At 40.5% G+C, this 27334-nt stretch overlaps 1 protein-coding gene across 14 annotated transcripts in view; it reads left to right on the forward strand.

Moving 5' to 3' along the window:
- GRIA1 (glutamate ionotropic receptor AMPA type subunit 1) overlaps positions 1 to 27334 on the forward strand; it is a 324255-nt gene that overhangs the window by 10846 nt on the left and 286075 nt on the right. The window contains exon 3 of one of the 14 annotated variants that reach the window (NM_001258020.2): positions 9290 to 9346. The exons of the other annotated variants lie outside the window; for them this stretch is intronic. The gene's annotated coding sequence lies outside the window, so the exon portion shown is untranslated. The remainder of the gene's footprint in view (positions 1 to 9289; positions 9347 to 27334) is intronic. 14 annotated transcript variants of the gene reach the window in all.

The raw sequence follows: 27334 nt of genomic DNA on the forward strand, positions 1-27334 counted from the left end.
GGCATTGCACTAGAAATTGAGAAAAATAAAATGCATTAGGCATTGATTTTCCTCTTAAGGGGCTCAGGTTCTTATAAAGGAAATAGGCATAAACCAAATCTGCCTCTCTTTCTCTCTCTCTCTCTCTCTCTCTCTCTCCCCCTCTTACATACACACACACACACACACACACACACACACACACACACACACACATTCAGAGGAAGGAAGGAAAACCTTTAGTTGGAGGGATTTAGGTTTCATAAAACAAGGACATTTGAGTTGAATTTGGAAAGATAGGTAGGATGTAGATGGGAAAATATATATGTATATATTTGTATACACACACACACACCCCACACACCTTCCTGTAATGGCAGGTTTGATGCAGTAAATAGCATACTGAGTTGAGATTTGAAGACATGGATTCAAATGCTGGACTACCTTCTTGAATCGTTTAGGTATAACCTTGGAGAAACATCCCCTCCCCCAAGCTTATTTATAAAATGAAGCTCATGGTCTCTGAGAGTCCTTCTGGGGCTGTATTTCTATGCTGGCAGCATATGGAAAACACCAGAGATATATGATTAATAGAAGTTCTCTACCTTTGGCTAGCAAGAGGATCCCTAAACAAGCTAAGTGTCTAAGGAAAGCTCTAGACTTCCCTTCCACCAACTTGCACATTCAGGGCGCATTCTGTATGCAAATGCTGAAGCATTATGCCTACTTTGGGGCCTCAGATGAATTCATTCAATATTTAACAAATATTTATGGAGTGCTTACTATTGTGAACAAAACTAGAAAGCAGCCCTGTGCTCATGGAGCTCACCAGCTAATAAAGGAGGCTGCCATTAGATGATCACATGAATGAGTGTATAGGTTGTAATAAACAATCTGAAAGAAAGGGCCATGATTCTATGAAAGCATATACAAAGGAACCAGCTCGTGCAGGAGGATGAATAGGTGCTTGAGCTGAGGACTGAAGGCTTTGGTGATGCAGTGATGGGAACAGGAGGAGTGTTTGAGAAGCTTCCTGGGCAGAGGCCTGGCCAGGCCTTGTAGGCTCTGTTATGGATTTTGATCTTTAGCTCAAACACTAAAGAACCCATGGAAGGGTTTTAAGCAGAGAAGTGCCGTGTTTAGATTTCTGTTTTCTCATCAGAAATCAGATGCTTGATAGTACTTTGCCAAATTCACATTTGCTGAAGACGTCTGGCTTGTGTTTCAATGGCCTTGTTTCTTTACTTCCATCTCCAGTTTGGGATGGAGTCTGGCAGATGGGCAGGAGGATGGGGACAGAGGCCAGGGGAAAGGGAAGCTGATGACTTGGTTTAGGGGTGCGTTGTCATGGTATGTGGCTCTCTGTGTGCCCATGGGCATTCCTGGAGATTGGAGGCTGATCCAGTGCAGTGCCTGGAGAACTGGTGAGGCTGTGTGGAGGCAGGGATTCATTCAGAGTCCTCATTTATTTTAACAAGGAAGACATACATAGCACTGAAGCTCAGCCTCTGTTCCAATCAGACAACTCAGTGGTCTTCAAATTCACACTGCCATTTCCTTCACTTACACTTACAAACTGCTCCTTCCATACTGCTCTGCTGAAATTCTGTCCTTCTGGTCAGCCCTAGCTCTTATTTTACCTTCTTCACTGAGCCTTTTTTCTCTTTCATATTCACATGCTCTTCTGCCCTTCAGCTGTTTTTACCATCTCCCTAGCAATGGTCACGCTTATCCCCAGGTTTTACTCACCTTGTCACTTGAACACGTGTCTTACCTGCCCAACTGGACTAAGCAATGTGAGGTCAATGACCTTGTTTACTTTAGCTTCCCATCACAGTCTCCACCACAGTATAGTGTTCAGTGGTGCTAGATGAATGAAAGAATAGATGGCAGTGACAAGAATAAGCCTGAATCATTGCTGCTTAGGGTAATGCTTTTGATATTATGAGTTTTGAGAGTTCCAACAGGCTGTGCTGTAAATACCTATGGATGGTTATTACTGTGTAGCTCCAAAGTTATGGGGGTGAAAATCAGGTGTAAGTCCAATTGAAAGCTCATTTTAGCTCCCGCTGGACTATTGTCATGAGGGGTCCTAAATAAGGTATAAGGTTCCATCTTCTAAATAAAGAATTTCTGATTCAAGCCCTGGGTTTGCCATTGATGTATGAGCCTTGTATGCATCTTACGACTTTGGTGTGTCCCAGCCTGCTGTCCAGAAAGCACAGGGGAGCCCAGGGCCATGGGAGGTCCAGGTTGAGGAGGCAGGCAAAACTGGGGCAAATGAGGCAGTTGGAGGCTAATGAAATTGATACCCTATGGTTAGGCGTGTTTCCATGTGTTCATTGTTTGGAACCTCTAGGATGAAAGTAAAGTTTGAGAATAGCCTTTAGTCTGTCTACAAAAGTAATATATACATTACAGAAAGCTATAGGAACAGAGACAGCAAACACAATAAAACTTGTATAATTATAGTACTAAGGATACATTTTCCATCCTTTTTTGAACCTAACAATTTAAACATTAATAGATTTATCTTACTGTCTTATAACATGATTTTTTGCATATTACAACCTTTAGGCTACTTTTATTATTGCACATTCATTTTTAATGGTTTCATAAAAGCCCACTGTACATATGTACCCTAATTTATTTAAGCTGTCTCCTTTTATGGGATATCTAGTTTATTTCCCTTTTTTTCTTAAAAACAGTGCTGTGATATTTCTCTCAATAAAATTTTAATCATTTGTACATATTTTGTTGTGATTTTAAGGGAACTATAAACCCAGTAGAACAATTTCCAATGAAATTGAATAAAATTTCTAGTATGTGCAGAACTTGAGATAACTTGTTTAATGTGAGTTCTGACATTGACTTGCTGTGTAACCTTGAAAAGCTTTTATATCCAGTTTAGTTTCCAGATGTATAATATGGGGTGCTAATACCTGATTCTCAAACTTATTAGAACAGGCAAGTGCCATTATTTGTATGAAAGAGCTTTGAAAAATCAAACATGCTAGGCAAACGCAGGGTAATATAATTAACCAGGCTTCTTATCTATTAGCATAAATGCACATAAGTAAAATGTAACTAATTAATTTTTAGTGTTTTCCTAGGAAGGTGTTCATTACCCATAAATGAATCTATTTTATGGATAGGGAAAATTGAAATCTTAAGGCTAAGTTTATCCAAGATCTAAATATATAGCTATGCTAAGTCTGAAAGCATTTCTTTTCATTTATGATTCAATCCATGAAAATGGACGAAATATGTGGATCATAAGAGTTTCTTTGGCTTAAGAAATTATTGTTTATAGAAATAAGGGGGAAAGCCCATTTGAGCAGTAAGCAGTCAGGACTGTTTGTGGCAAGTGACAGAAACCCAACTAACTGGATAGTTTTAACTTCAGGTATAGCCAAATTCAAGGGCTTGATTGATGTCATCAGGACTGAGACATGCCCTCTAGATTTTTATGCTTAGCTTTTCTCTAAACTGGCTTTACTCTCAGGCATAGATATGTCATATATCAGATCCCAGCACTGGCAGCCTTCACCTGCCCAGCTACAAGTCCAGTGGAAAGGAAACTTCTCTTTTCTCATCAGTTCCACAAAAGTCCTGGGCCTGATGTCATTGGATAAAACTTAGGACACATGCTCATTTCTGAATATGACACAGTGGCCAGGATATTGTAGTCTTTTGCTTGACATGGGCCTAGTGAAATCATCATTTTTAGAGCTTGGGGTAGTGAGAAGAACCAAAAGATTGTGGATTTAAGCCAGCCCACCAAAACCATACGGACATGGGGGAGGAATAATTCCCTCAAAGGGAATCAGGATGCTATTACCAAAAGAATGGAGATTGAATGCTTGAGAGGCAAAATAGATATATATATATATTTTTGTCTATTAAGCATATATATATATACACTATCTATATATAGATGTAAATGTATTTATTGTCTATTTTATGTATTTATTGTAAATAAATACATTTACTCTCTCTATATATATATTCTATCTATATATAGATGTCCCCCATTGCACATCTTTTCAGAAAAGAAAATTCAGACAGGCTGGAGCTGAACCAATGCAGACAAAAAGTCAACATGCTAAAGTCAGAAGAGCCACCAATGAGACAAGCACATACAAGGGATTCTGGTGGGTAAGTCAAGATCAGAAGTCAGGACAGGCAAAAGGTCTGAAATTCAGGCTTCTGAGTTAATCAAAGCTGTAGGGGTCTTTGGTAATCCTTGTCCAGCCACGAGCAAACCTGTGTTCACAGAACAGTTAGAAAGTGCTAGCCATTCACCCACATAGAAGCGACTGGGAGGTGGTCTCTCCAGGCCACTCTGATAATAAGTTGAGGTTGTCGGCTGTAAAATGTTTGGTGATCCTGAGGCACCAATACTCTGTCCCAGTGACCAGGACATTTCCTGCTCTACTCAAACACTCAAGCTATTGTGCACAAACTCTTTAACAGTCCCAGTTGGAATCTTGGCTGCAAATCTGATGAGCCCACACCACCAGATGGTAGGTTCTCCTAATTGGTTCCATCCCCTCTAGTTTTTGGCAGGAACGAAACCTTCCCTATACCTGAAGAGGGGACAGGGAGAGCCAGGATCAAATGAAGGAGGCTTTAACCTCTGTTAAACAAGCAGAGATCTCAAGCTGGCTCCTGTCCAAGGCAAACAGGGCAGTATGGTTCTTTTACATAGGTCATGGATTTACAGGGGACTGATATCCTAAGACTAACACTGATGAGGCACAAGACTGTAATGATTGAAAAGTGGTTTAGCTACAAAGGTCAACTGATTTGGGGGAAGGTGCACTTGTTTATTCAATAATTGATATTTGTGGAGCATCGTGGTAGATGAGATTATTATTTGGCAATTATTTCTCTCTCCCTCAAACTCCTTGGGAAAAAAATATAACTTCCTGCTTCATTAATGTCACATTTGGTCATTTGACATGCTCTGGCAACTTAGATATTAGTAGATATGTTTGAAGCAGAGATTATGAGAAGAACATGCCCCAGAGAGCCTGCTCGTCTCATAGGAAAGGTAAATACAGTAAGTAGAAGTGTCCCAGTCAACCCACAGCCCACAGACTAAAGTTTGAAGCAGAGCTATCCCAGCTGACCTGAAAATCTGTGAGCATTGTAGGAAATGCTCAATGTTATATACCACTGAAATTGGAAATGGTTTGTTTTGCAGCAATAGCTGGCCAATAGAAGCAACCAGCGTGTGTTCCACACTTTGCTAGGCACTGAGGGAACATTGGAAATGACAGACATAGTCCTGGTCTCCATGGAGCACTATTGTAGCTAGGAAGATAGACAATGAATACATTTACAAATAAAATATATAGAGAGAGATCATTACTAGGGTCATAAAGAAAATAGGATGTAGTGACATCACCACTATGGTAGAGAAGAACACCTTTAAAGTAAGTGGTCAAAGAAGGCATTTCAAAGGAGGTGACTTCTGAGCTCAGATATAAAAGTTGGAAGAGAGCCAAATGAGAGTAAATTCCCCTGTGGAATGTCGAAATCCAGCCCCATGGGCAACTTGGATTGAGAATCTTGGTCTAGGCAGAGGAGAATGAGGTGCCCTGGAAAAATCTCCTGCAAACTAGGTCACTCACTTGTCTTAGGGCAGATACTAGCTTCTCTCTACCACATCACATGTGCAAGTCAAGGGCTGGCAGATCACTTGCTGCCAAGACTAGATGGTCTCAGGCATTGGAAGCCACTGAGCATAGCAAGGCAGAGAGGGGGAGGTATGCTAGGGCATTCCTAACCATGAGGTGATGGAATTGGCTATACTTCTTGGCTTGGCTCCAGAATACTCAAGAGTTGTTGCTTATTAGGATGGCAAGAAGGGTGTGTGTGTGTGTGTGTGTGTGTGTGTGTGTGTGTGTGTGTGTTCATACATATATTCATTCTTTCACAGAGGAGGAAAATGAACTAGATGGCTTCTAGATCCCTTTCCAAGTGTGTGATTATAAAAAGGATGCTGAGATTTAAATTATGTGTGAAGGAAATGTTAAATTGAAGAACTTCATCTTAGCTCTGTGCCAAGCTCCATTTGTTAATTGAGGTGGTTAATTAGAAAGGAGTCTCCCTTGAGCAAGCAGGATAAGCTCCAGCATCCCTAATCTATCTGGTAAAGGCTATAGAGGTGTCACACCTACAAGGGAGAACAAAGAACATCTAATGCAAGCCCTCTGTTTAATCTTCACTCCAGACACTGAAAAGCAAGAATGTTGGGGGACAGGAAGCTCACAGCGCCCGCATGGAATTTAGACTCCAAGTAGTTTATTAGCTTTGGGAAAATTATTTAACTTACACTGCACTTACTAGCTCTTCTTCCTTACTCCAAGATCACTCTGAATACTTTAAAATATGGTTGGACATGGTGGCTCACACCTGTAATCCCAGCACTTTGGGAGGCCAAGGCGGGCAGATCACTTGAGGCCAGGAGTTCGAGATCAGTCGGGCCAACATGGCAAAACCCTGCCTCTACTAAAAAATACAAAAAATAGCTGGCATGGTGGCACACACCTGGAATCTCAGCTACTTGGGAGGCTGAGGCACGAGAATTACTTGAATATGGGAGGTGGAGGTTGCAGTGAGCCAAGATCAAGCCACTGCACTCCAGCCTGGGAGAAAGAGTGAGACTCCTTCTCAAAAAATAATAATAATAAATAAATAAAAGATGGTTTCTATGTTGATGTAATGAACCAAGTATTCTAGGGTTATGGAAGAATTTCTCATCAGCAAATCCAGCTACTTATGTCTTTGTTTCTTGCAGCCTAGGGCTGATGGAAGTCTTCACACCCCTTCCAAGAACCCCCACAAACATTCCACCACCCCCACATACCCCTGCAAGAATGAAGCTTTCTGGGGCTATGTTCTCCTCAACACCACCACAGGGGTCCTCTCTCACTCCTTCTGCTCCTTTTTTCTCACTAGCGTCTACCCTTTCCCCAGGATTCCAGCCTATACATTCTGAGTTCAACATATCAAAACCAGAACTTGGCATCCTTCCTGCCAAACTCATTGCTCTTTTCTCACTTTATTTCTGTTCAATCATTCAGCCTTAAAATGTGGGTGTCTGGTTTCAACTTCTCCATATAATCAATATTATGTGTTGATTTCACCACCACTATGACTCGAGTCTATCCCCATTTTCTTCTTTTCCCACTGGATTATGGCTTTTGCCTTCTGACTGTCATCTTCATGATATAATCCACTTACAGGTGGCGGATCAATTTATTGAAGACTATTTCTGATCATCAAGCTTCTTGTCTCAAAAAAATATCAGTGGCTTCCCATCTTATTTTAAGTTCAAACTCAGACTAAAATATGAGTCTCTCCATAATGGGTCTCTGCCTGCCTTCCTTTTGAGACTTACCTAAACCCTACACTCTATGTTCCAGCCAAACTAGACTACCTAGTGTTGCCACAAACATGCCTCTCAGTCTTTCACTGCTTTGGTCATACTACTGATTCCATCTGAAATAGTCTCTACCACATTGAGCACCCACTCTCTACTAAACCCTGGAGATACCGCAGAAAACAAAACCAGCAAACTCCCTGTACCCTTGGGGTTTACGTCCTGGGAAACAAATACATATAATGATTTCAAATACTAGTTAAATGATACAAACATAGCCAAATAGAGTCATGGGACAGAGAGTGAGCTGTAGTGCTACATTAGATGGGTGGTCAGGGAGGACAGGCATCACCTGAAGAGATGATATTTTAACTGAGCCTTGTTGCAATCCATAGAACTTTCTGCAGTGTTGGGAGACATTCTATATCTGTGCTGTCTAATATGTAGGCACTAGCAACATCTGCCCCTATTACACATTAGAAATGTAGTGAGCATGACTGAGGAACCAAATCTTTCATGTAATTTAATTTTTATTAATTGTAATTTAAAAAGTCACATGTGGCTAGTGACTGTCATATTAGACAGTGCTAATCTAGATTCTAGAATATTTCAGACAAGAAAAAAAAAACAGTAAGCATAAAGGCTTTAAATGAGAGTGAGTGTATATTCAAAGAACAGAAAGAAGGCCAGTGGAGCTAAAGCATGCTGAGGAAAGAGACAGGGTATTTTGTAAGTCATGATAAGGAATTGACATGGAGTTTAAATGCAATAAAATCACTAATGGATTTTAAGCTTGGGAGTGTAGTGATCTGATTTAATTTTCAAAAGATTACTGTGGCTCCTCTGTGGAGGAAGGAGAAGTGATAAATTGACATGAAAACAGTATGTGTCAGTCAGTTTTTGCTGCATAACAAATAACATCAAAATCTCAGTGGTTTATAACAAAAGCTTTTTTAAAAAACAATCACATCTGCAGGTTGCAGGCTGCAGTCTGTAGGTCAACCATGATTCTGATTACACTGTAGGATAGGTTAAGGCTAAACTCCAGGAGGGTTCAGGTCTGCCCGATGTGTCTTTGTTTGGGTATTGAGGGTCAAGGGGCAGCAGCTACAAAAAGACCTGCTCTCCTTTTCCAGGAGCACAAGAGGCTAAGCTTTATCATGCAAATATATTTAAAGCTTCTGCTCATGTCATGTTCTCTAATATTCCATTGGTTCAAGCAAGGTATGCAGCTAAACCTAATGCTCATGGGGCAGAAAACACACTCTGTCTTCTAAAAGGAATTACAAAGTCATATGACAAAAGGCATAGATGTGTAATTTTATAACAATATCCAATGTAACACAGAGGGGACTGGGGAGGTTCCTACAATAGTCTGGATGACAGATGGTGGTGGCTTGGAAAAGGTGTTAGTAGAAGAGATGAAAGAGGTAAGATTCATAAAGTATTTTGAAGAAAGTATGCACAGGATTTAGTGAGAGAATGAAAGTAAAGTATGGGGTAAAGAAAACAGACCATTTTCCAAAGTGCTTCTCAGATGCTACCACAGCCCTGTGAAGCTGCTTCTCCCTCCCTCAATTGCAGCTGATTTCCTTTTCTCTTATCTCACTGGCTCTCTTTTTTGTGCTGCTTTTATTGGCCCATTTCAACTTTCTACCTTCTGTTCTTGAGAGGTTTTATCTATTGTTAAGACTCTGAGGTTTTGAGGGCAAGAGAATAAAATTATTTGTATTTGCAACCCAACTGCCTAGGGAATAGGCTCAATAAATATTTCCAGGGCAATACAATGGTTAAGAGCAAGGACTTTGGAGATATCATCCTCATTTTGGATCTTGTGTGATCTTTATAATTGACTTAACCTCTCAAAGCCTTGGTTTTTATTTATAAAGTGGCAGTAATCATACACTCCTTTTACAGTTGTGCAGATTGAAGGAGATCAACTTGGAAAGTGCTTAGCATAAGGCCTGGCATAGAGTAAGTACCCGATAAATGAGAGCTATTATTGTTTGTTCAATTTAATTGTTTGTGATGACAAGCTTCTTTGGAAATGCCCTCCAGAGTCTTCATCAGAAAATTCAATGTTCTTGTTGAAATGAGGGGCACAGAGAATAAAAACACTCTGGATGGGATTTTGTAATTTAGTAAGGAGATCTCTAGATCTAAAGTCTCTTTGATCTGAAAATGACAGCAACAACAAAACCCCAAAATAGAGCCACTTTGCTACTTGTTTCCTTTTACCATCTGCCAAGATGGTTCTTTTTAGTTCTCGAGGTCTTGCTTGGAGTCAGCTGCCTTAAAATAATAAAATAAAATTTAAATCTGGTCCTGCACTTATTTGGGAGCGAGAAGACAAACTGCTTTAACTAAATATATAGCTAGTTGCTGCTGGAGTGAAATATAGGGCAATGTTGACTAAAGTGTTTGAGGAATGAACTGCTCTGGGAAAGTGAATTTTAGGATAAAACTGAGGATTAATCAGAACCTGACTTTTTTTTTGGTAACATTTGTAATTGAGACAGTTTCCGACATGTACTTTTCAAGCTTTCTTGCCTTAGTGAGATGACTTTGTTGATCCTAGTTTAAAGTTGCCTTGATCATAAGTATCCTGTAAATCCAGCGGGCATTGTGAACAGAGATTGTCTGCGATTGCAGATGAGAACAGAAAGGTTGGGGGTGAAATCGCTGAAAAAGAGTGCATGAAAGAGGTGAAAAGTTAACATGATGAGTTTGGATATCTGCAGGAGGGTTTCTCCGGAGCTCTGCAAGATACATTTGGAAAAATAGGCTGGGTTCAGACTAGAGAAGGCTTTGAAGGTCAGGAATAAGTATTTGAGAGACAAAATAATATGTTTAAGTTGCATTGTTGATATTCCAAAGGTCTTGTTTATAAGCAAATAAAGGATGATTTTATTTAGCAAGTACTAGAATAATCCTCAGCAAACATAAAGTTACCTGACATCAAATGATGCAGAATATCCACATTTCTACACAATGAACTCTACAGGGTTCATTTTTAAAGTGTTTTAGGAGCTCATTTAGTCAGTGCTTCCCATTAGAACTGTGATGTTCTGAGGATATTAATAGGTTATTTGGGGAGCATTGGGGGTGATGAGGGAAGGTTGCATGGTTATAAATTTAGTCATGCTGATTAAGCAAAGTATAAGGGGTGCTGTGTTTTAGGATTTTGAAGACCCTTTAAAATGCTAATGTGTCTTGTTAATTTCTAAAAAAGAGGATACAGTATGTATTTTCCAAACTTAGTCCCTCTGTAGCCCACAGAACAGGCGGGTCTGATTGCTTGGTGAGTGACAGATCAATGACCACAACCAAGGAGTATTTTAAAAAGGGATTTTATTACTTGCAACAAGTAAGGATGGCTGACACTGAGCATAGTTCCCAAAGCAGTGCCTCCCCAAATAAAGGTGAACCCAGGGCTTTTATTGACCTGGTTGGCTGAATCATTGTATGTAGAGGTGAAGTAAAGGCAGTGCAGGTGCAGGTGCAGTCACAGATCATGCTTTTATACTTGTGGCATGTATAGGAAATGTTGAATAAGCTCATCTCTGGATGGGGATTTTAGTACGTTAATAAAGGGAGTTCACCAAAGTTCATCTCCAACTCAGGCATCTCAACCAGTTTTTGTTTTTTGGGCTTCTTCCTGGAATTTTTTTTGAAACAAGAACTCAAGGTGCAACAGTTACAAGTGTGTAATTTCTCATTGTGTGTACCCAACAATCTGGGGACCCTGAGTTATAACTCTTTTTGCTGAATTTGTGAATAATGTCTTGTGATGTTTAATCCTGTTTTACATATGGTGAAACTAAGGCTGAGAGCATACACAGGGATTTATCTGCAGTCAGGTAGCAGCCAGGTCACGATGCTAACACAGAACTTTTGACCGTCACCCAAGGCCTCCTACTCTTCCAGGCTCCCTGTCAATTTTTGGAGCCAGTCCTCTAAACAGTTTTACCCAGAACAAGGAATTGCCGGTGATTTCAGAAAGAACTGGCAGACTCGGGGGAGGCACTTGCCAAATTGGCTCAGGCTGGCCTTGCTGCCATGCTTCTTTTCCTCGTTCCTGCGAAGCCAGTTCTAGGTAACCTACCTGCAGATGTCTACCCTGAAATAACACCCAGCCTCTGTTACACTGCTGTTACACACAAACAAACAAAGCAAATCTGCTGCAAAAAGAGGCAGGTTGAAATAAATTATTTTTAGTGCAACATATAACGTCAATGTCAAAAATACGAAAGAGGCAGGTTGCATAGGGAGGCTGAGGAGGAGATGCTGAGATTCAGTGTGGAAGGTGACAAGATAAGAGGAGGAAAGTTTGCCCTGGCCCTGAGGCAGCAAAATTAATTTTGCCCCAGGCCTTTAACTGAGGGAACCAAATCTATTTATTACAGAAATTATAAAGAGATTTGGTGACTGACCCCACTTTACCTTGAGTGATTGGACTTTACACGCAGGTAATAGGAATAATAGTGTCATATTTATAGAGCATGTTCAGGTGGTTGAGGATATGGAAAGCCTTTCCAGTAAGGAATGGTTGGAGGCTCTGAGAAGGAAAAACTTAGACTTGGATTTCATCATCAAACTTCTAAACAAACATATTTGGAAAGGTACTGCATTTTCTATGGCCCAAGAGGCCAAAACACAGACAAGTGAGTACAACATTTGGTCTGGCAGATTTTGACTCCACACGACAGAGCCCATTCTAAGTGTGTGGACTGGCTAGCAGTGGCGAGGGTTCCCTTTCTCTAGTCTGCAAACCTCCCAATCAACATGGCTGTTAGAAACCTGGTCCTTTTGCAGAATTGCTTTACCACTTCTACCTTGATGACCCAGTGCCTGTGATACCACCGTTAGAAAGTCATCTAATTGCGTTTAAACTTGTTCTCTCCAGCATCCGTTGAATAGCAAAGACAAATCCTTCTGACCATAGTTCTAATTCTGTGGGCTGGCACTATGGATTTAATTGTGCCCTCCCAAAATCCGTTTGTTAAAGCCCTAACCTCCAGCATGATGGTAGTGGGTTTAGCTGTCGTCATGAGGATGTCATCCTCATAATGGATTAATACTCTATAAGAGACACCAGAATACTTGCTCTTTCTCTTTTTCTGTGCACATGCACCAAAGTAAGGTCATGAGAACACACAGCAAGATGGCGGCCATTGGCAAGTCAGGAAGAGAACCTCACCATAGTGGCACCATGATCTCGCACTTCCAGTTTCCAGAACTGTGAAAAAAGAAATTTTTGTTGTTTAAGTCACCATTCCATAGTATTTGGTTATGGCATCCTGAGCTGACTAACACCACTGGTAATTAAGGTGTTTCTTCCATGAAAAATGAAATGATGGTCAATAGGAAGCAAACAGAAGCTTAAGCAGAAGGGCAGAAAGGAGTGAATTTGGGAACCAGAGGGAGTCCTATAGAGACTAGACCTGGGATTTTGACAGTTCTGCTGAGGGCTGGCCCTGTGCCCAGCCTCCTTCCACTTCTCTTCATCTCACTAGACCAAGAAAATATGCACATCTGTTATCCACAAATACTCTGAATTCCCCCGCCAACGCAGATCCCCGGGAAAACCTAACACAAGCAGAACAGTGGAGGAGATGCACGGGGTATTTGGTGTTTCTCAGGAAAAAGGCTTGATTTTTTGACACCCTCTATCTTGGTCTCTTAATTTGTCCTGAGTCAGTGAGCCACAGTGAAGTCCAGAGAAAAAAATGGAAATAGGAGAATCGGGCTTAAACCTCAGTTTTGTCGCTGATTAACCTGTGATCTTGGGCAACCCACTGATCTGTTCTTTGTTTCAGTTTCCCTCCATGACCCTGAGTACTTTAATAGCCTCTATTCTCCCATGTATCTCTGTTGAACAGATCATAAAGAGTAGTGATTATGAATCCAGACTTTACTGTTACTGTCAAATATCACATTAATTTCCTCAGCCACTTTACACCTGTGCAACCTGAGGCAAAATTTTGTAATATCTCTATGTTTCAGTTTTTATAGCTGTCAAATGGGGTTAATAACAATCCCTATCACAAGCAGTCTTTACAGGCATGGAATGAAAAATTGCTTGTGAAATGCTGAGTGTAAGGCCTATTATATTCAGTAACTATTACCTCTATTTTGGTTCAACACCATTTTGCAGTCTCCCCCAAACACCCTGCTGCAACACACCTCTAAGCCTTGGCTATGCTGGCCTAAAAAACTTCTAGACACCCTTGATGACCCAAATGAAAATCTTCTGAACCCAAGGAATGCTTTCCTGGCTGTGTAGGTGGCAAGCATCACACTCTCAAGGGAGTAAAACTGTGCCTTTCTGCAACCATTATTGCCCATAACCCATCATGTTGTGATGCGTTTTTTACAAGATTGTCTTTTGTTGTCTATGCTTTTGGGGTTATATGCAAGAAATCATTATCCAGACCAATGTCACATGGTTTTTCCCCTATGTTTTTCTCCAGTCGTTTTACAATTTCAGGACTTACATTTAAGTATTTAATTCATTTTGAGTTGATTCTTGTGTAAGGGATGAGAAAACGGTCCAATTCAATTCTTCTGCATGTGAATAGCCAGCTTTTCCGGCACCATTTATTGAAGAGACTATCCTTTTCCCCTTGTGTGCTCTTGGCACCTTTGTAGAAAATCAGTTGATCATAGACTTGTAGGTTTATTTCTCAGCTGTCTATCCTATTCCATTGGTCTACATATCTGCTTTTATGCTAGTACCATGCTGTTTTGATTAGTATAGCTTTGCAATATATTTTGAAATCAGATCATGTGATGCCTGCAGCTTTGTTTTTGCTTAAAATTGCTTTGGCTGTTTGGGATTTTTTTGTAGTTCCATACAAATTTTGGGATTTTTTTCTATTTCTGTGAAGAATGATGTTGGAATTTTGACAGAGATTGCATTTAACAAGAAAATTAATAACCCTATTAAAAATGGGCAAAAGACTTGAATGGACATTCCTCAAAAGAAAGCATACAATAATGGACAACAGATATATAAAAAAATGTTCCACATCATTAATCATCAGGAAAATGCAAATTAAAACCACAGCATAATATCACCTCAGACCTCTTAGAATGGTATTATCAAAAAGATGAAAAAAAGCAAATGCTGGTAAGGATGTGAAAAGAAAAGGAAACCCTTGTATACTGTTGGAAATCATGTAAATTATTGCCCTCAGTTTACAAAACAATATGAAGGTTTCTCAAAAAATTAAAAGCAGAATTATCATGATTCAACCAATTGAATCATGGTAAACATCTAAAGTTCTGGGTATATATCTAAAGAAATTGAAATAAATATGTCAAAGAAATATCTGCACTCTCATGTTCATTGCAGCATTATTTACAATAGTTAAGATATGGAAACAACCTAAATGCCCATCAACAGATGCTAGGATAAAAAAATGTGGTATTGCTACATAATGAAATACTACTGAGACTTTAAAAAAAGAAGAAAATTCTGTTATCTGTGACAACATGAATATAACTAGAGGACATCATGCTAAGTTAAATAATCCAACCACAGAATGACAAATATTGCATGATCTCATTCATATGTGAAATCTAAAAGCATCAAACTCGTAGAAGTAAAGAGTAGAATGGTGGTTGCAGAGGCTGGGGACTTGGGGCATATGTTGGTCAAAGGGCACAAGGTTTCAGTTAGACAGAAGGAATAAGTTCTGGTGAGATATTGCACAACAAAGTGACTGTAGTTAATAATATATTATGTATTTCAAAATTTCTAAAAGACTGGATTTTAAATGTTCTCACCACAAAGAAATGACAAGTATGTGAGGTTATGAATACGTTAATTAGCCTGATTTGTTCATGCCACAATGTATATGTCTATCAAAAGATCACACTGTAACACAGAAATAGATATTATTTGTCAATTAAAAACAAATTTTTTAAAAAGGCTATTTTTCTTGCTGAATCCCACATGTCTCTGGGGCTAGGGTAGATGTCTTTTTTAACCAGATTGTGTCCAGCTTAGTCCGGTGTTCAATAAGCATTAAGTGTCTGAAGGGTGGTCAATGGACAAACAGATGAAGGGTTGCATAGATGAATAGAAGTCTACCATATCTAGGCTGGGAGTGGTGGCTCACACCTGTAATCCCAGCACTTTGGGAGGCCAAGGTGGGCGGATCATGAGGTCAGGAGATTGAGACCATCCTGGCTAACACGGTGAAACCCTGTCTCTACTAAAAATACAAAAAATCAGCCTGACGTGGTGGCGGGCGCCTGTAATCCCAGCTGCTCAGAAGGCTAAGGCAGGAGAATCACTTGAACCTGGGAGGCAGAGATTTCAGTGAGCCAAGATCACACCACTGCACTCCAGCCTGGGCAACCGAGTGAGACTCTGTCTCAAAAAAATAAAAATAAGAAATCTACCATATCTACTTCTCAGGCATAAATATGATAACTATTTCCTTTAATTTCCCATTGGATAAATAACTGTTTATAAACATCTAGTTGCCAGACCCATGCTTGGAGTCTCAGGGCTAAAAGAAATGCTCCCCATTTGCTCTATGTGCTAGTCACATCAATCCCACTTGATCCCCACAGCACCCTTTGGGGGAAAGAGAGTAGTTGATAATCTGATTTTACCAATGAACAAAGGCTCAGAAAAGACTAGTTGATCCTAAAAACACCACACAGCATTCTAATGTTGTAAAAATACCTGGATTTGAGTCCCCTGTACACTGATGCCTTGTGGTGTGGCATTGGCTCAGATGCTTCCCTCCTCTGGGATGTGGACTGGCCTCTGAGGTCTCTTTAACCTCTGGAATCATGTGAGCTGGAGCACCTGTTGGCTGGGGAGACAAAAGGCTGCTGCGTCCAGATCTCCCTTCACGAGGAAGAAATGTGTCTGCACTTTTCATATCAAAGCACTTGGGCAGCATGGGGGCGTATTGTGATGAGGCTGATGGATCCTCCCTGAACTGGTGCCTCAGCGTTCCCATGCCAACTGAGGGAAGGAAAAGAAAAAAAGGAAAAACAAAAATCAAACACGAAAACTGAGCTTGATCTAGAGCTGAAGAAAAATATTCTACTGATGGCAACATTCATGGCCGTATTATGAAGAAAAACAAATTCATAAAAACCTCAGCTTGGCCTTAATGGTTGGATCTTAAGATGAGTGACAAATGACGAAATATTGGGTATGAGAGAGAGGCAGGAGGTGGGAGGAGAGCAGGCCCTGCAATCAGAATCACTTATTTGTAACATCCATTCACGAATACATTGCCCTCAGCCACGCAGGAAACCCACACAGGCCTAGAGGATGCTCTCTGCTTTTTTCGTGGTCCTGCCATTCCCACCAGTACCCAGAGGCCCGAACCAGCGAGGAGAAAACATTCACTCTTTCTCTGAATATTCAATTGAACTTGTTTTCAGTTTCCTGACAGCATCCAGATCCCCAGAGTGCCTGCATGGCTTTATTTTTTCATCCACCGCCTGCTGACTGGTCCCTCTCTTAATACCCCTCCTCCCCCAGGGCTTGCTTCTTCCTGTTTTGTGGGGAGCAGAACATTTGAGCTTCCAGGGGTAGTAACCACTAGTGCTGGTAAGCACAGCTTTGGAAATCAGGGGAGGGACCCTCAAAGAACCATGGAAAGTCCCCTGGGCCCTCAGAAAGGGAGGGATCAAATTAAGTAAGGGAAACAGACATGAGATATGGGCAGATGGGAAGCTAAGTAGCTGTGGCAGCTCCTTATAAAGAGATCACAGCTGGAGATGCGTTCACTAATCCCACAGAATAATCCTCTGTTTCTCTTTCCTGAACCCCCACATCTAGTTCATCAGCAAGTCTGTCAGTGCTAGTTACAAAATATATTTTGAATCCACACACTTTTTTCAAAAAAAATCTCTACCATAACCCCGTATCCCTCACACTGTGATCTTTTTCCCATATCACTACATTAACCTCCTAACCTGTCTTCTTGCCTCCTTCCAGACAATGTTCCACCTGGAGGCTAAAGTGACTTTTTAAACGTATTGAGCTGAACATTCCATTCCTCTGCTTAAGTAAATGTAGACTCCCTTCCTTGGCCTACAAGGCCCTCCATGAACCTGTCCCTCCCTAACCTTACCTCTTGCCCCTCTCTCATGTAACTGGATTTCAGCCTTCCAGGCCTTCCTTCAGTTCCTTAAACAGGCCAAGCTGCCAGGGCCTTTGCACTGGCTGTTCCCTTTGCCTGGGATGCCGTTAAATCTCATCATGGCTGGCTCTAGTTCACTATTCAGGTCCCAATTCCCACGTTACTTTCTCAGAGAGTGTTCCCTGAACACTTAATCTAAAGTAAATTTCTAATTGCCCTCTCTTCCAGCACTTCAACATCCTTCAAAGCATTTTTTTTAAATAGCCCACAGGTGCTACTAAACTTTGAAGCTTTTTTTTTATAATTAGTACCCATTTTGCCTACTTACTTGTATTATCTGATGTCTTTTTTTACCTGCTCAGTGTAAGCGCCACAAGAAAAGGATCTGCTTCTTGTTCCTTGTATCCTGTGTCTAGTCTGGGGTTAGCACAGACTAAGTGCTTAGTAGACATTTATCAAGTAACCACATAAATGAATGAATTTCTGAAGTGGCTATTTCTTTCTACCTGGATTTGAGCTCAGCCCTGGGGATACAGACATGAAAAATACACAGCCACTACTCTGAAGCTGCTCATGGCCTAATGAGGGAAACTGAGAAGTCAGTAGTTTCAGGATTAAAAGCCAGTAGTTTCAGGATTAAAAGTATGATAATGTATATTATTAATCATGTGTATACATGTACAATAATAGTAATAGTGGCCAAACTTGAGCCATTATGTGCTCAGCACTGTACAAATATTATGCAAGTATTTTTTTTCATATAATTGCCACAATAAACTTATGAGTTAGTATTATCACATTTAAACTACATAAAAATGCATTTGGCAGATGCAGAAATGGAGATACTGCGAGGTTCAAATAACTGGGCCATGGGGACAGTTAGTAAGTGGCTGAGTGAATTCAGCCTGGCATCGTGCTCCATGTCAGAGCCAGTGCTCTGAAGCACTAGATCAGTGATTCTCAAAAGATGACCGTCCTGGACTGGTAGAGTCAGCATCACATGGCAGCCTGTTAGAAATGCCAGTTCAAGGCCAGGCACGGTGGCTTACGCCTGTAATCCCAGCACTTTGGGAGGCCGAGGTGGGCAGATCACAAGGTCAGGAGATCGAGACCATCCTGGCTAACACCGTGAAACCCCGTCTCTACCAAAAATACAAAAAATTAGCCGGGCATGATGGCACGCACCTGTAGTCCAGCTCCTCAGGAGGCTGAGGCAGGAGAATCGCTGGAATCGGGAGGTGGCAGCTGCAGTGAGCCAAGATCACGCCACTGCACTCCAGCCTGGACGACAGAGCGAGACTCCATCTCAAAAAAAAAGGAAAGAAAAGAAATGCCAATTCGAGGGTCTCAGGCCGGACCTCCTGAATCAGAAACTTTGGAGTTGGGGCTCAGCACTCTGTTTTAACAGGCCCCGCAGATGATTCTGAAGATGCTCACCAAAGTTTGACAACCACTACCTATTGAATGACTTAATTTTATGGGATACTAGATCAGACTAGATCAGAGTCTGAAGTTTTTCTGTAACTCAGTTCTCATCTTAACGCTGTGAGTGTAGATTGCTCTCAATCCACGGCTGAAGAAGCCAGATTGTGACTGAATAAAGCCAGTTACCCTGCCTGACCCTGGCTCCAGGACCTGCAGCATGTAAAACATCATCCAGGAGTGCAGCCCCTGTGAAGACAGCTGACCTGAAGGGCATGGAGTCTGTGACCCCATCCACCTTGAGAAGCATGCTTCAACCAGCAAAGGAAAGACAGTCCTAGACAAGGAAACATCATCAAGTCTCTCTGTAGGAATACTTCATATCAGACCATATTGCCATGTGTTGAAGATTATTATATAATGATAATAATTAGTACAATAGTAATACCATACATTTTGATTACATTTTTGACATTTTCAAGGCATGTTTATATTCTAATAATCTATTTTCCCTCTTGATAATTTTATTTTCTCCCTTAAAAATCTCTCCAGTTACACAAAGTAGAGTAGGAGTGAAAGGATTGTTAATCTGTTAATCTGCCTGTCCAGGGGAGAGGCAAAGTAAAGAGATGTATCTGTGATTTCATGGCCTGTTAGGTTCGTAGTAACAATAGCTAATGTGTGTTAGGGAGCTTAAGTGGGCCAGGCTCTTTGCTAGATATGTCAGTGCTTATTAATTTAATAAAACCTCTAGACCCAAGGCTTCCAGACTCCCAACTGGTCTCCTTCAGCAAGCAGCGTTTCTTTTCTTTCACCTCACTCTGAATTCTTCAGACTCTCTAGTCATTCATTTATTTTATTCATTCAACTTTTATTTAGCTTATACATCCTACAGAGAAGGTGAAGGGCACAGAGGTGAATGTGCTGGCCCACAAATTGCTAGCTCTCTCAGGGGAATCCAGAACAATGCAGTGCCACCCACAGTGGAGCCTTGAAGGACAAAGGCAAATTATTTACCAAATCAAAAGTTGCCAGATTCAAGATTCTCTGCAGTTCTTTGAGGTTTGAGCTTGGTGCATAAGAAGAAAGGGGGATTTTGTTCTAATGAAAGACAGGACACAAGGGCCTACCTACAAAAATTGCTGCAATAAATGAGGACATCATTAAAATTGTCTTTGTGGGGGCCCATGGATATGGAAGTGAGTAGGGAAGATGTATACAAGCAATGGAAGGAATAAAAGACAGAAGACTTCCTAGATCTAGTGCTAGAGGCTCCATAGTTCTGTTCCTTACAAATGCTGTAACTTTGGGCCAGCCTCCCAACCTATTCAACCTTCTGCTTCCTTCTCCATGAAATAAGAACCTGGATTTCTTACTCACCTGATTCACAGGGAACCTCTGAAAATCAAACGTAAGAATTAGTAATAGTAATAATAACAATATAAATAGCTAACATCTATTGAGCAATTATATTTCTTACTTTCACTGGCTTATTTCATTTAATCATGAAAGCATTTCCATGAAGCAGGTAATGTTTTAGGCCCCAGTTTATAGATTATAAAAACAGAGGTTTAGTAAATTACTAAGTTCACCCACCCTTAACAAGCAGTGGAACAAGGATTTGAATTCAGATCTGTCTGATCTTTGAACCTATTACTATTAAATCACTACCCCAGAATTCAAAAACAAATGAGGAAAACTCTGCGAGTCATGCTGATGAAATGAGCGGAATCAAAAGAGGGAACAAAAGGGAGGGCCTGGGGTCAGAGGCTGTTAGCTTGGCATGAAGGATGGAAAGCATTTCCAGATACCATGTCCTGAGTGAGCACAATGCTTAGGCTATGCAGCAGACCCTGGACAGTGGACCAAGGTTTAAGAGTCAGTGTGAACTTTCAGGAAGAAGAGTTTATGCAGAGTAACACATGCCATAAACAGAAGAAAGTATCAGGGACCAGAGAAACAGAGTAAGAGGCAGAGCTGGAGTCAGGCAGCTGCAGATTCCAATGGCCTCTGACTTTCTGCTGTAGCTGCAAAGGTACATTTTATTTAACTCCATGCCCAGCCCTGTGGCAGTCTGGGAGCCCTTTGACAGAACTACAGCTTCCACATCTGGCTCAGTGGGGAAGGAGAAATAGATCTTCCCGGGCAAAAAGAAGCAGCTCAGTCTTGCTGCCTTCCCTTGAGTCTGGACAGAACCATCCTCGGTGGTGAGCTTCCCAGAGCCTTTTGGGAGTGGCTCAGGGGACCAATTTGCTTCCTTGAAGAATTTTGAATAGCTTCAGATGTAGCTCTGGTGGTTGAAGCTAAGGACAATAATGAAAATAATATGATAGCTGACATTCATTGAACTCTAATCAGGGGCTTGTTTTAAGGCATATTTTAGGCTCTATGCACTGTTGTGTGTCTTGCTGCTCTCATTACACCAAAGATATTATAGCACACCCACATCTCACATTGAATCTGATTTATGTGTGAGTTGAGTGGCATTGCTGCACACTAGTTGGTGCAATGACATGTTTTATAGATATTTAAATATTTATTAATTTGATTTTACAGTTTGCTTTTAATATTTCAGAGTCAATATATTTATTTTTCTGGTCAGACATACTTTTTAGGCCCACCCTTCAAAAGACTGTAGGACCCAGACACTGAGTTTTCTCATGCCACCTGGAGAAAGTGATCCTGTAATTATTGTGTTGGGAGCTGAGTGCTCCCACACATTGCCTGTGGATAAGTGTAAGACTCTGGAATTAAACTGCCTTAGGTTTGAATCCTGAACCCACTACTTTCTAGCTGTGTAATCTTTGGCAAGTGCCATATCCTATTTGTGCCTCAGTTTTCTCATTTGCAAGATGGTTATTGTAAGGACTGAATCAGAGAACACATAAACAGTTTAAAATACTACCTGTAACCTGTATCATGGCATGTAAAGTTGTTATTATTGATATTTAAAATGTCCCAGTGAGGTAGCCACTATAGTTATTCCCATTTTGAAAATGAAGTCAATTTGATGAATGGTGGAGAGGGACATTGAACTCAGGTGGTCTGACCGTAGAGCTCATATTCATAATGAGTAAGAGTTTGTATCAGTCAAGTTAGGCCAGGTTATACCACAGTAACAAATGACCCCCAAACTTCCATGGGCTAATATAACATGAGTTTATTTCTTGGTCATGCTGCAAGTCCAACACAAAATGGTGGGGGAGTGGGGAGAGGCATTGCTCCTCATGCTTCCTTAGGGACCCAAGCTGAAAGAGGGACCATCCTAACATGATCACAGTGTCAAAGGAACTTATGTAATAAGCCACACCCTGGCTCTAAAGCCTTATTCCCAAGGTCACGGACATCATTTCCACACACAGTTCATTGGATCAAGCAAGTTGATGGCCAGGCTTAACTTTAAAGGAGGTAGAAAAGTGAAATCTTACCATGTAACTGCAAAATTGGGAATAGCTAAATGTTATCTCAGAGGAAGGTTTTGAGGATCAAATTAATTAATCTATGAAATTATCAAAAATAGGGCCTAGAACATAGAAAAATCTTCTTTAATGTTAGGTATGAATTCTTATTAATTAATGAATTGCCTCTTGTAGCAGCTCTCCTGTATAAATATCTTCCACCTGATTCTCTTGTTCCTGATATCTCTCTCTCTCTCTCTCTCTCTCTCTCTCAATGATCCATCTTGCAGACCTGATCCATTTTATTATTAGACCTCTCTCTTATCATGTCATCTCTCTTGTTCTCCCTTGTCTGATTGGGTAAGTTCAGAGTCCTAAGCAAGATATCTGAGGGCAATCCGTAATTCACTTCTAACCTACTCTGGAATTTTTTCTCCCACTTTTCTCTAAGGCTGTGTTCTAACTGGAAGGACTCATTCACTGTTCCCAAATTAGACTGGCACATTCCTACCCCATCCCTTGATATTCTTCATTCTTATTGTATAATCTCCCTTCTCAAATGCCTCTTGCCTTTCTGCAATTTTATATCCCTCATTATGCAGTTTACCACTTCCTCCAAGAAGCCTCATTTTTCACCACAGCCTGAAATGATTTCATTCAGGGCTGAACTTCCACAGTACTACTCATTTGGCTGAACTTTACTACTCATTTGACCCTGAACTCAGACTGCTTTGAACATTTTTTTTTTTATTTATGCTTATGTTGTTACTGTTGTGGAAAGAACACAGAGCACAGCATCAGACTCATATTGATCTAAATTTCAGGTCTGTCATTGACTGGCCTTGACACCCTGTGCAGGTCAGCCATGTTCTCGAGCTCCTTGCCCCTTTCCTGTGACATGAAAGTGATTATACCTATTTCATAAGAATGCTGCGAGGATAGAATTGAAAACAAGTTATAGTGACCTACATATAGGAGATGACTGTCCTCATCATAGCTGTGTCCCTAGTATCAAGAACAGTACCTGGCAAATAATAGTCAGCTCAATGACTATTTGTTGACTGAATGAATTATTAGTAATCACCAGCCACTCTTACTGCATGCTAGTTTTCTCCAAAAGCTGTAAGTTCCTTGAAGACAGCTTTGAAAAGTAAAGTTCTTTGGAGTCTTAGGCAACGGTTCTCAAGCTTAATTATACAGGAGAAGCAAGGAATGTTATTGAAATGCTAATAGTTGGAATCTGGATGTACTGAATCAGAATTCCTGGCACAGGGCCAGGCGCAGTGGCTCACGCCTGTAATCCCAGCACTTTGGGACGCTGAGGCAGGCAGATCACAAGGTCAAGACATAGAGATCAGCCTGACCAACATGGTGAAATCCCTGTCTCCACTAAAAATACAAAAATTAGCTGGGCGTGGTGGGGCTCACCTGTAGTCCCAGCTACTCAGGAGGCTGAGGCAGGAGAATTGCTTGAACCTTGGAGGCGGAGGTTGCAGTGAGCCAAGGTCACGCCACTGCACTCCAGCCTGGAAACAGAGTGAGACTCAGTTTAAAAAAACAAAAAGAATTCTTGGCACAGAGTCTAAACATCTGTATGATAACAAACTTCCGAAATGATAGAGTCTGAAGATTATGCTTTGAGAAATCTTATTTTGGAAGAGCTCCTCTTGACTGGATACAAATCTTTCCTGGTAGGGCTTTGTAAGACAACTCATCTATAAGGATGAATAAACTTTCTATCCTTCTGGACTAGCTTTCCTGCATAGCTAACTCATTTAATTCCAGGCTAGATCACTTCTAAAAAATCAATGCATTAGAATTGAATTAATTTGTGTTCACTTAATTGATATAGTGTGTGCTTTTCTAAATGGCACTAGGTTTGAAAGTGAAGCTGGTCACACTTTTTTACAGTAGGCTTCTCTAATAACACTTGATTCTGTCTTTGTACCCAGTGCCTTCTGTATAGTATTAGCTCAGGGATTTGTACCTTCTTGGCCAACAAACTTTGTTGATGCATTGAAAAATACAGTTTCCTAATTGCAACTCCAGTGAACCTGTAATATAGTAAGATCCTACAGGTCTCTGTAGGAAATATTGCTACTGAAAGTCAAAGATCACTCATTAAGTCCATCTCATAGTTGATTGTAGTCCAGTGGAAATATTTGCTATATTTGGCAGAACTGTCTTTGTATAAATAGTGAACAGATACATTCCATCTTAGCACTGCCAGCTTAGGATCTCTTAAGGATTCGACTATTTACTTAACTGAGGTACAGCCCATGGGACACACATCACCTATTGAATTCCAGGTCTTAGCAGTTTATTAGAAGTGTAAACAATGCTTCCATTCAAAAAAGTCAACTCATCCAATTGTTAAGACGATTTATCTTTTTTCTTTCATTTCAGCCTAGTGCAGTGATTCTCAGCTGGGAGTGATTTTGCCCCTTTCCCTTCCTGGGGGACATGTGGCAATGTCTGGAGACACTTTTAAGTGTCACAACTCAGGACTGGAGAACTACTATTGACATTTAGGTAAAAGCAATGGATGTGCTAACCATCCTGTAATGCACAGAACAAACCCCTACAACAAATAATTATCTGGGCTAAAATGTCAATAATGCTGAGGTTAAGAAACCTCATTCTATTTTTTGTACTCATTAACTATCCCCCTCAAAACATCTCATGTACCCCATAAATATATATACCTACTATGTACCACAAAATTAAAAATAAAAAAGAGTATAAAATTAAAAAAAAAAACCACCTAGTCTAGTTCTTTTTTTGGCCAAGTGCTGGGCACTGGTTCCCTCTGCTATTTCATTGTGTGGAACCTGGATGGGCTACTCAGAGTGTTCCTTGTTCAGAATCAACTTCAGCTGGCTTACTCTTAGTGGGAAGGCAAAACTTGGGAGATAAGGGTCATCTCAATTTCTCCTTTCTTTAAGCACTAGTGGTTAGCCCTGTAGCTGGAATACAAACCACAACCCTCTCTCCTGATTCACTATAAGAACCTGGCTTGGACTTCTCAAGATAGTTTTCCCTCCTCATTTCCCTGGCTTGGTTGGAACACACTCCACTCAGTAAGTTGGAGAGTCTCTGTGGGTATACAACTGGCACTTTGATTGCCGCAACTTTGTTATCTGTGATCATGGTATATAATAATCAGGATGAAAGTCAAGTTTCCTATTAGTAATTTAGCAACAGTCACTCAACACTGTAAAAGAAAACTACTCCTGTGGAAATTAAACAGAGTCATTTTCTTGTGGTGAAAAGGTCCTGGGTTTGCCTCAGTGGGTCTAGATTTCAGCCTTGGCTACTAAACTTGCTCATGGGCCTCTGTTTCTTTATCTGTATGATGGGAATAATAATTTCTGCCCTGATTACATTAATGATGGAGAGGATCTATAAGATGGCTCCTAAGTTCTGTAAAATGTACCGCAGTTGCTCCCCAAAAGTGAAACTTGGGATTGGGAAAACTTCTACACAATCCCAGTCTATGAATTAACACTTAGGAATCACTGCATTATTATTTGAAGAAGTATATTTATAACTGCAGCATATCAGCAAAATGAGGCCAATATAGTAAAGCAAAATGTATATTTTAAAGGACTCATATTCTAAGCTTATACTCTTTTTTTGTTCAAATACCTTTTCTATTATGCAATGTTATGGTGATAGATTGCAGAATGTTTGGTTGTGTTTTAAAACAACTTACATGAAAATATCAAACATTAACAACCTGTATCAGTCCCAGAAATGTCTTTAAATATTTTTCTGATCTTTGAAACTGAATCCAAAGGAACTCTGCAAAGTCTCCTCAGCAGGAATGTTATCATGGATGATACATTGTGAATAAAGTTGTGTGAATGTAAACTGGATGCATTTGGTATGTTAAAAATACTGTTCACATGCTTTATTAATTCATGCACAATCATCTGCAGGAGGCAGATCCTATTTGCCCGGGATCACACTGAAACACAAAGAGGGTGAATATGTGCACAGGGCAGCAAAGCAAAAAGATCAGCAGCTTTGGACTCAGGCAAAGCTGATGTCCCTGCTGAGCTCAGCCACTTATCAGCTTCATGACTCTATGCTAAATTTTAAGAGCCTCAGTTTCTTCATCTGCAAAAATGGAAATAGTAATACTACCCCACAGGGTTGTTTGTGTGACTAAGTGAGCCAATATAGGGAAGAGGCTAGATAGAGAGACTAGCACTTGGTGGGTGCTCAGGGTTGTTTGTTTCATTCATTTAAATTATTTCCAGTATCCCCTAGTGTGTAAATAGTGAATCTGTGACATGGAGGCTCTTCCAAATTTAATCCAGTGCCATATGCCTTCGTGATGCTGATCATAATCTTGAGAACACAATCCTGAACTCCGCAATCTTGAATACTGAAATCGCAAAAATTCAAAATCCCTAAAGTCTAAAATTTCCAATAGCTAAATTCCTGAAAAACACAATTTTGAAAGATTAAAATTGCAAATCTTGAAATCTTGCAAATCAAATCCTGGGGAAGGGATTAGTGTATTTTTGGTTGTACACAGGATAGGTGCATCGTGTTAGTTACATCATATTAGGCAGAACTCTTATCCTGTTATTGTCTTCATTTGGAAATTAATTATGGTTTAAGGAGATGCATATTGGAGCTGACAAGGGGCAGACATGTGGGCTTAATTTTAGGTGTACACTTGACTGGATTAAGGAATATCTAAAACCTGGTAAAACATTACTTTTGGTGTGTCTGTGAGTGTGTTTCCAGAGGAGTGTGTAACCTAAGTGGATTAGGCGGGGAAGATCTGCCCTCAGTGGTGGCAGGCACCCTTCAATCAGCAGAGGGCACAGGAAGAACAAATACAGAAGTCAAATTGGTCTCTCTGGCAGCTGGCTGGCTTTTCTTCTACTGCACTGGACATCAGAAATATTCCAAAAAGTGTAGTTTCACAATGTTCACTTTCTGCATAAGCATCGTGTGTGTACATGAAAACATGGAAACTTCCTTAATAAATGTAGAGATGTCTT

This window comes from Homo sapiens, chromosome 5 (genome assembly GCF_000001405.40).
Source record: "Homo sapiens chromosome 5, GRCh38.p14 Primary Assembly".
NCBI classification, from domain to species: Eukaryota; Metazoa; Chordata; class Mammalia; order Primates; family Hominidae; genus Homo; species Homo sapiens.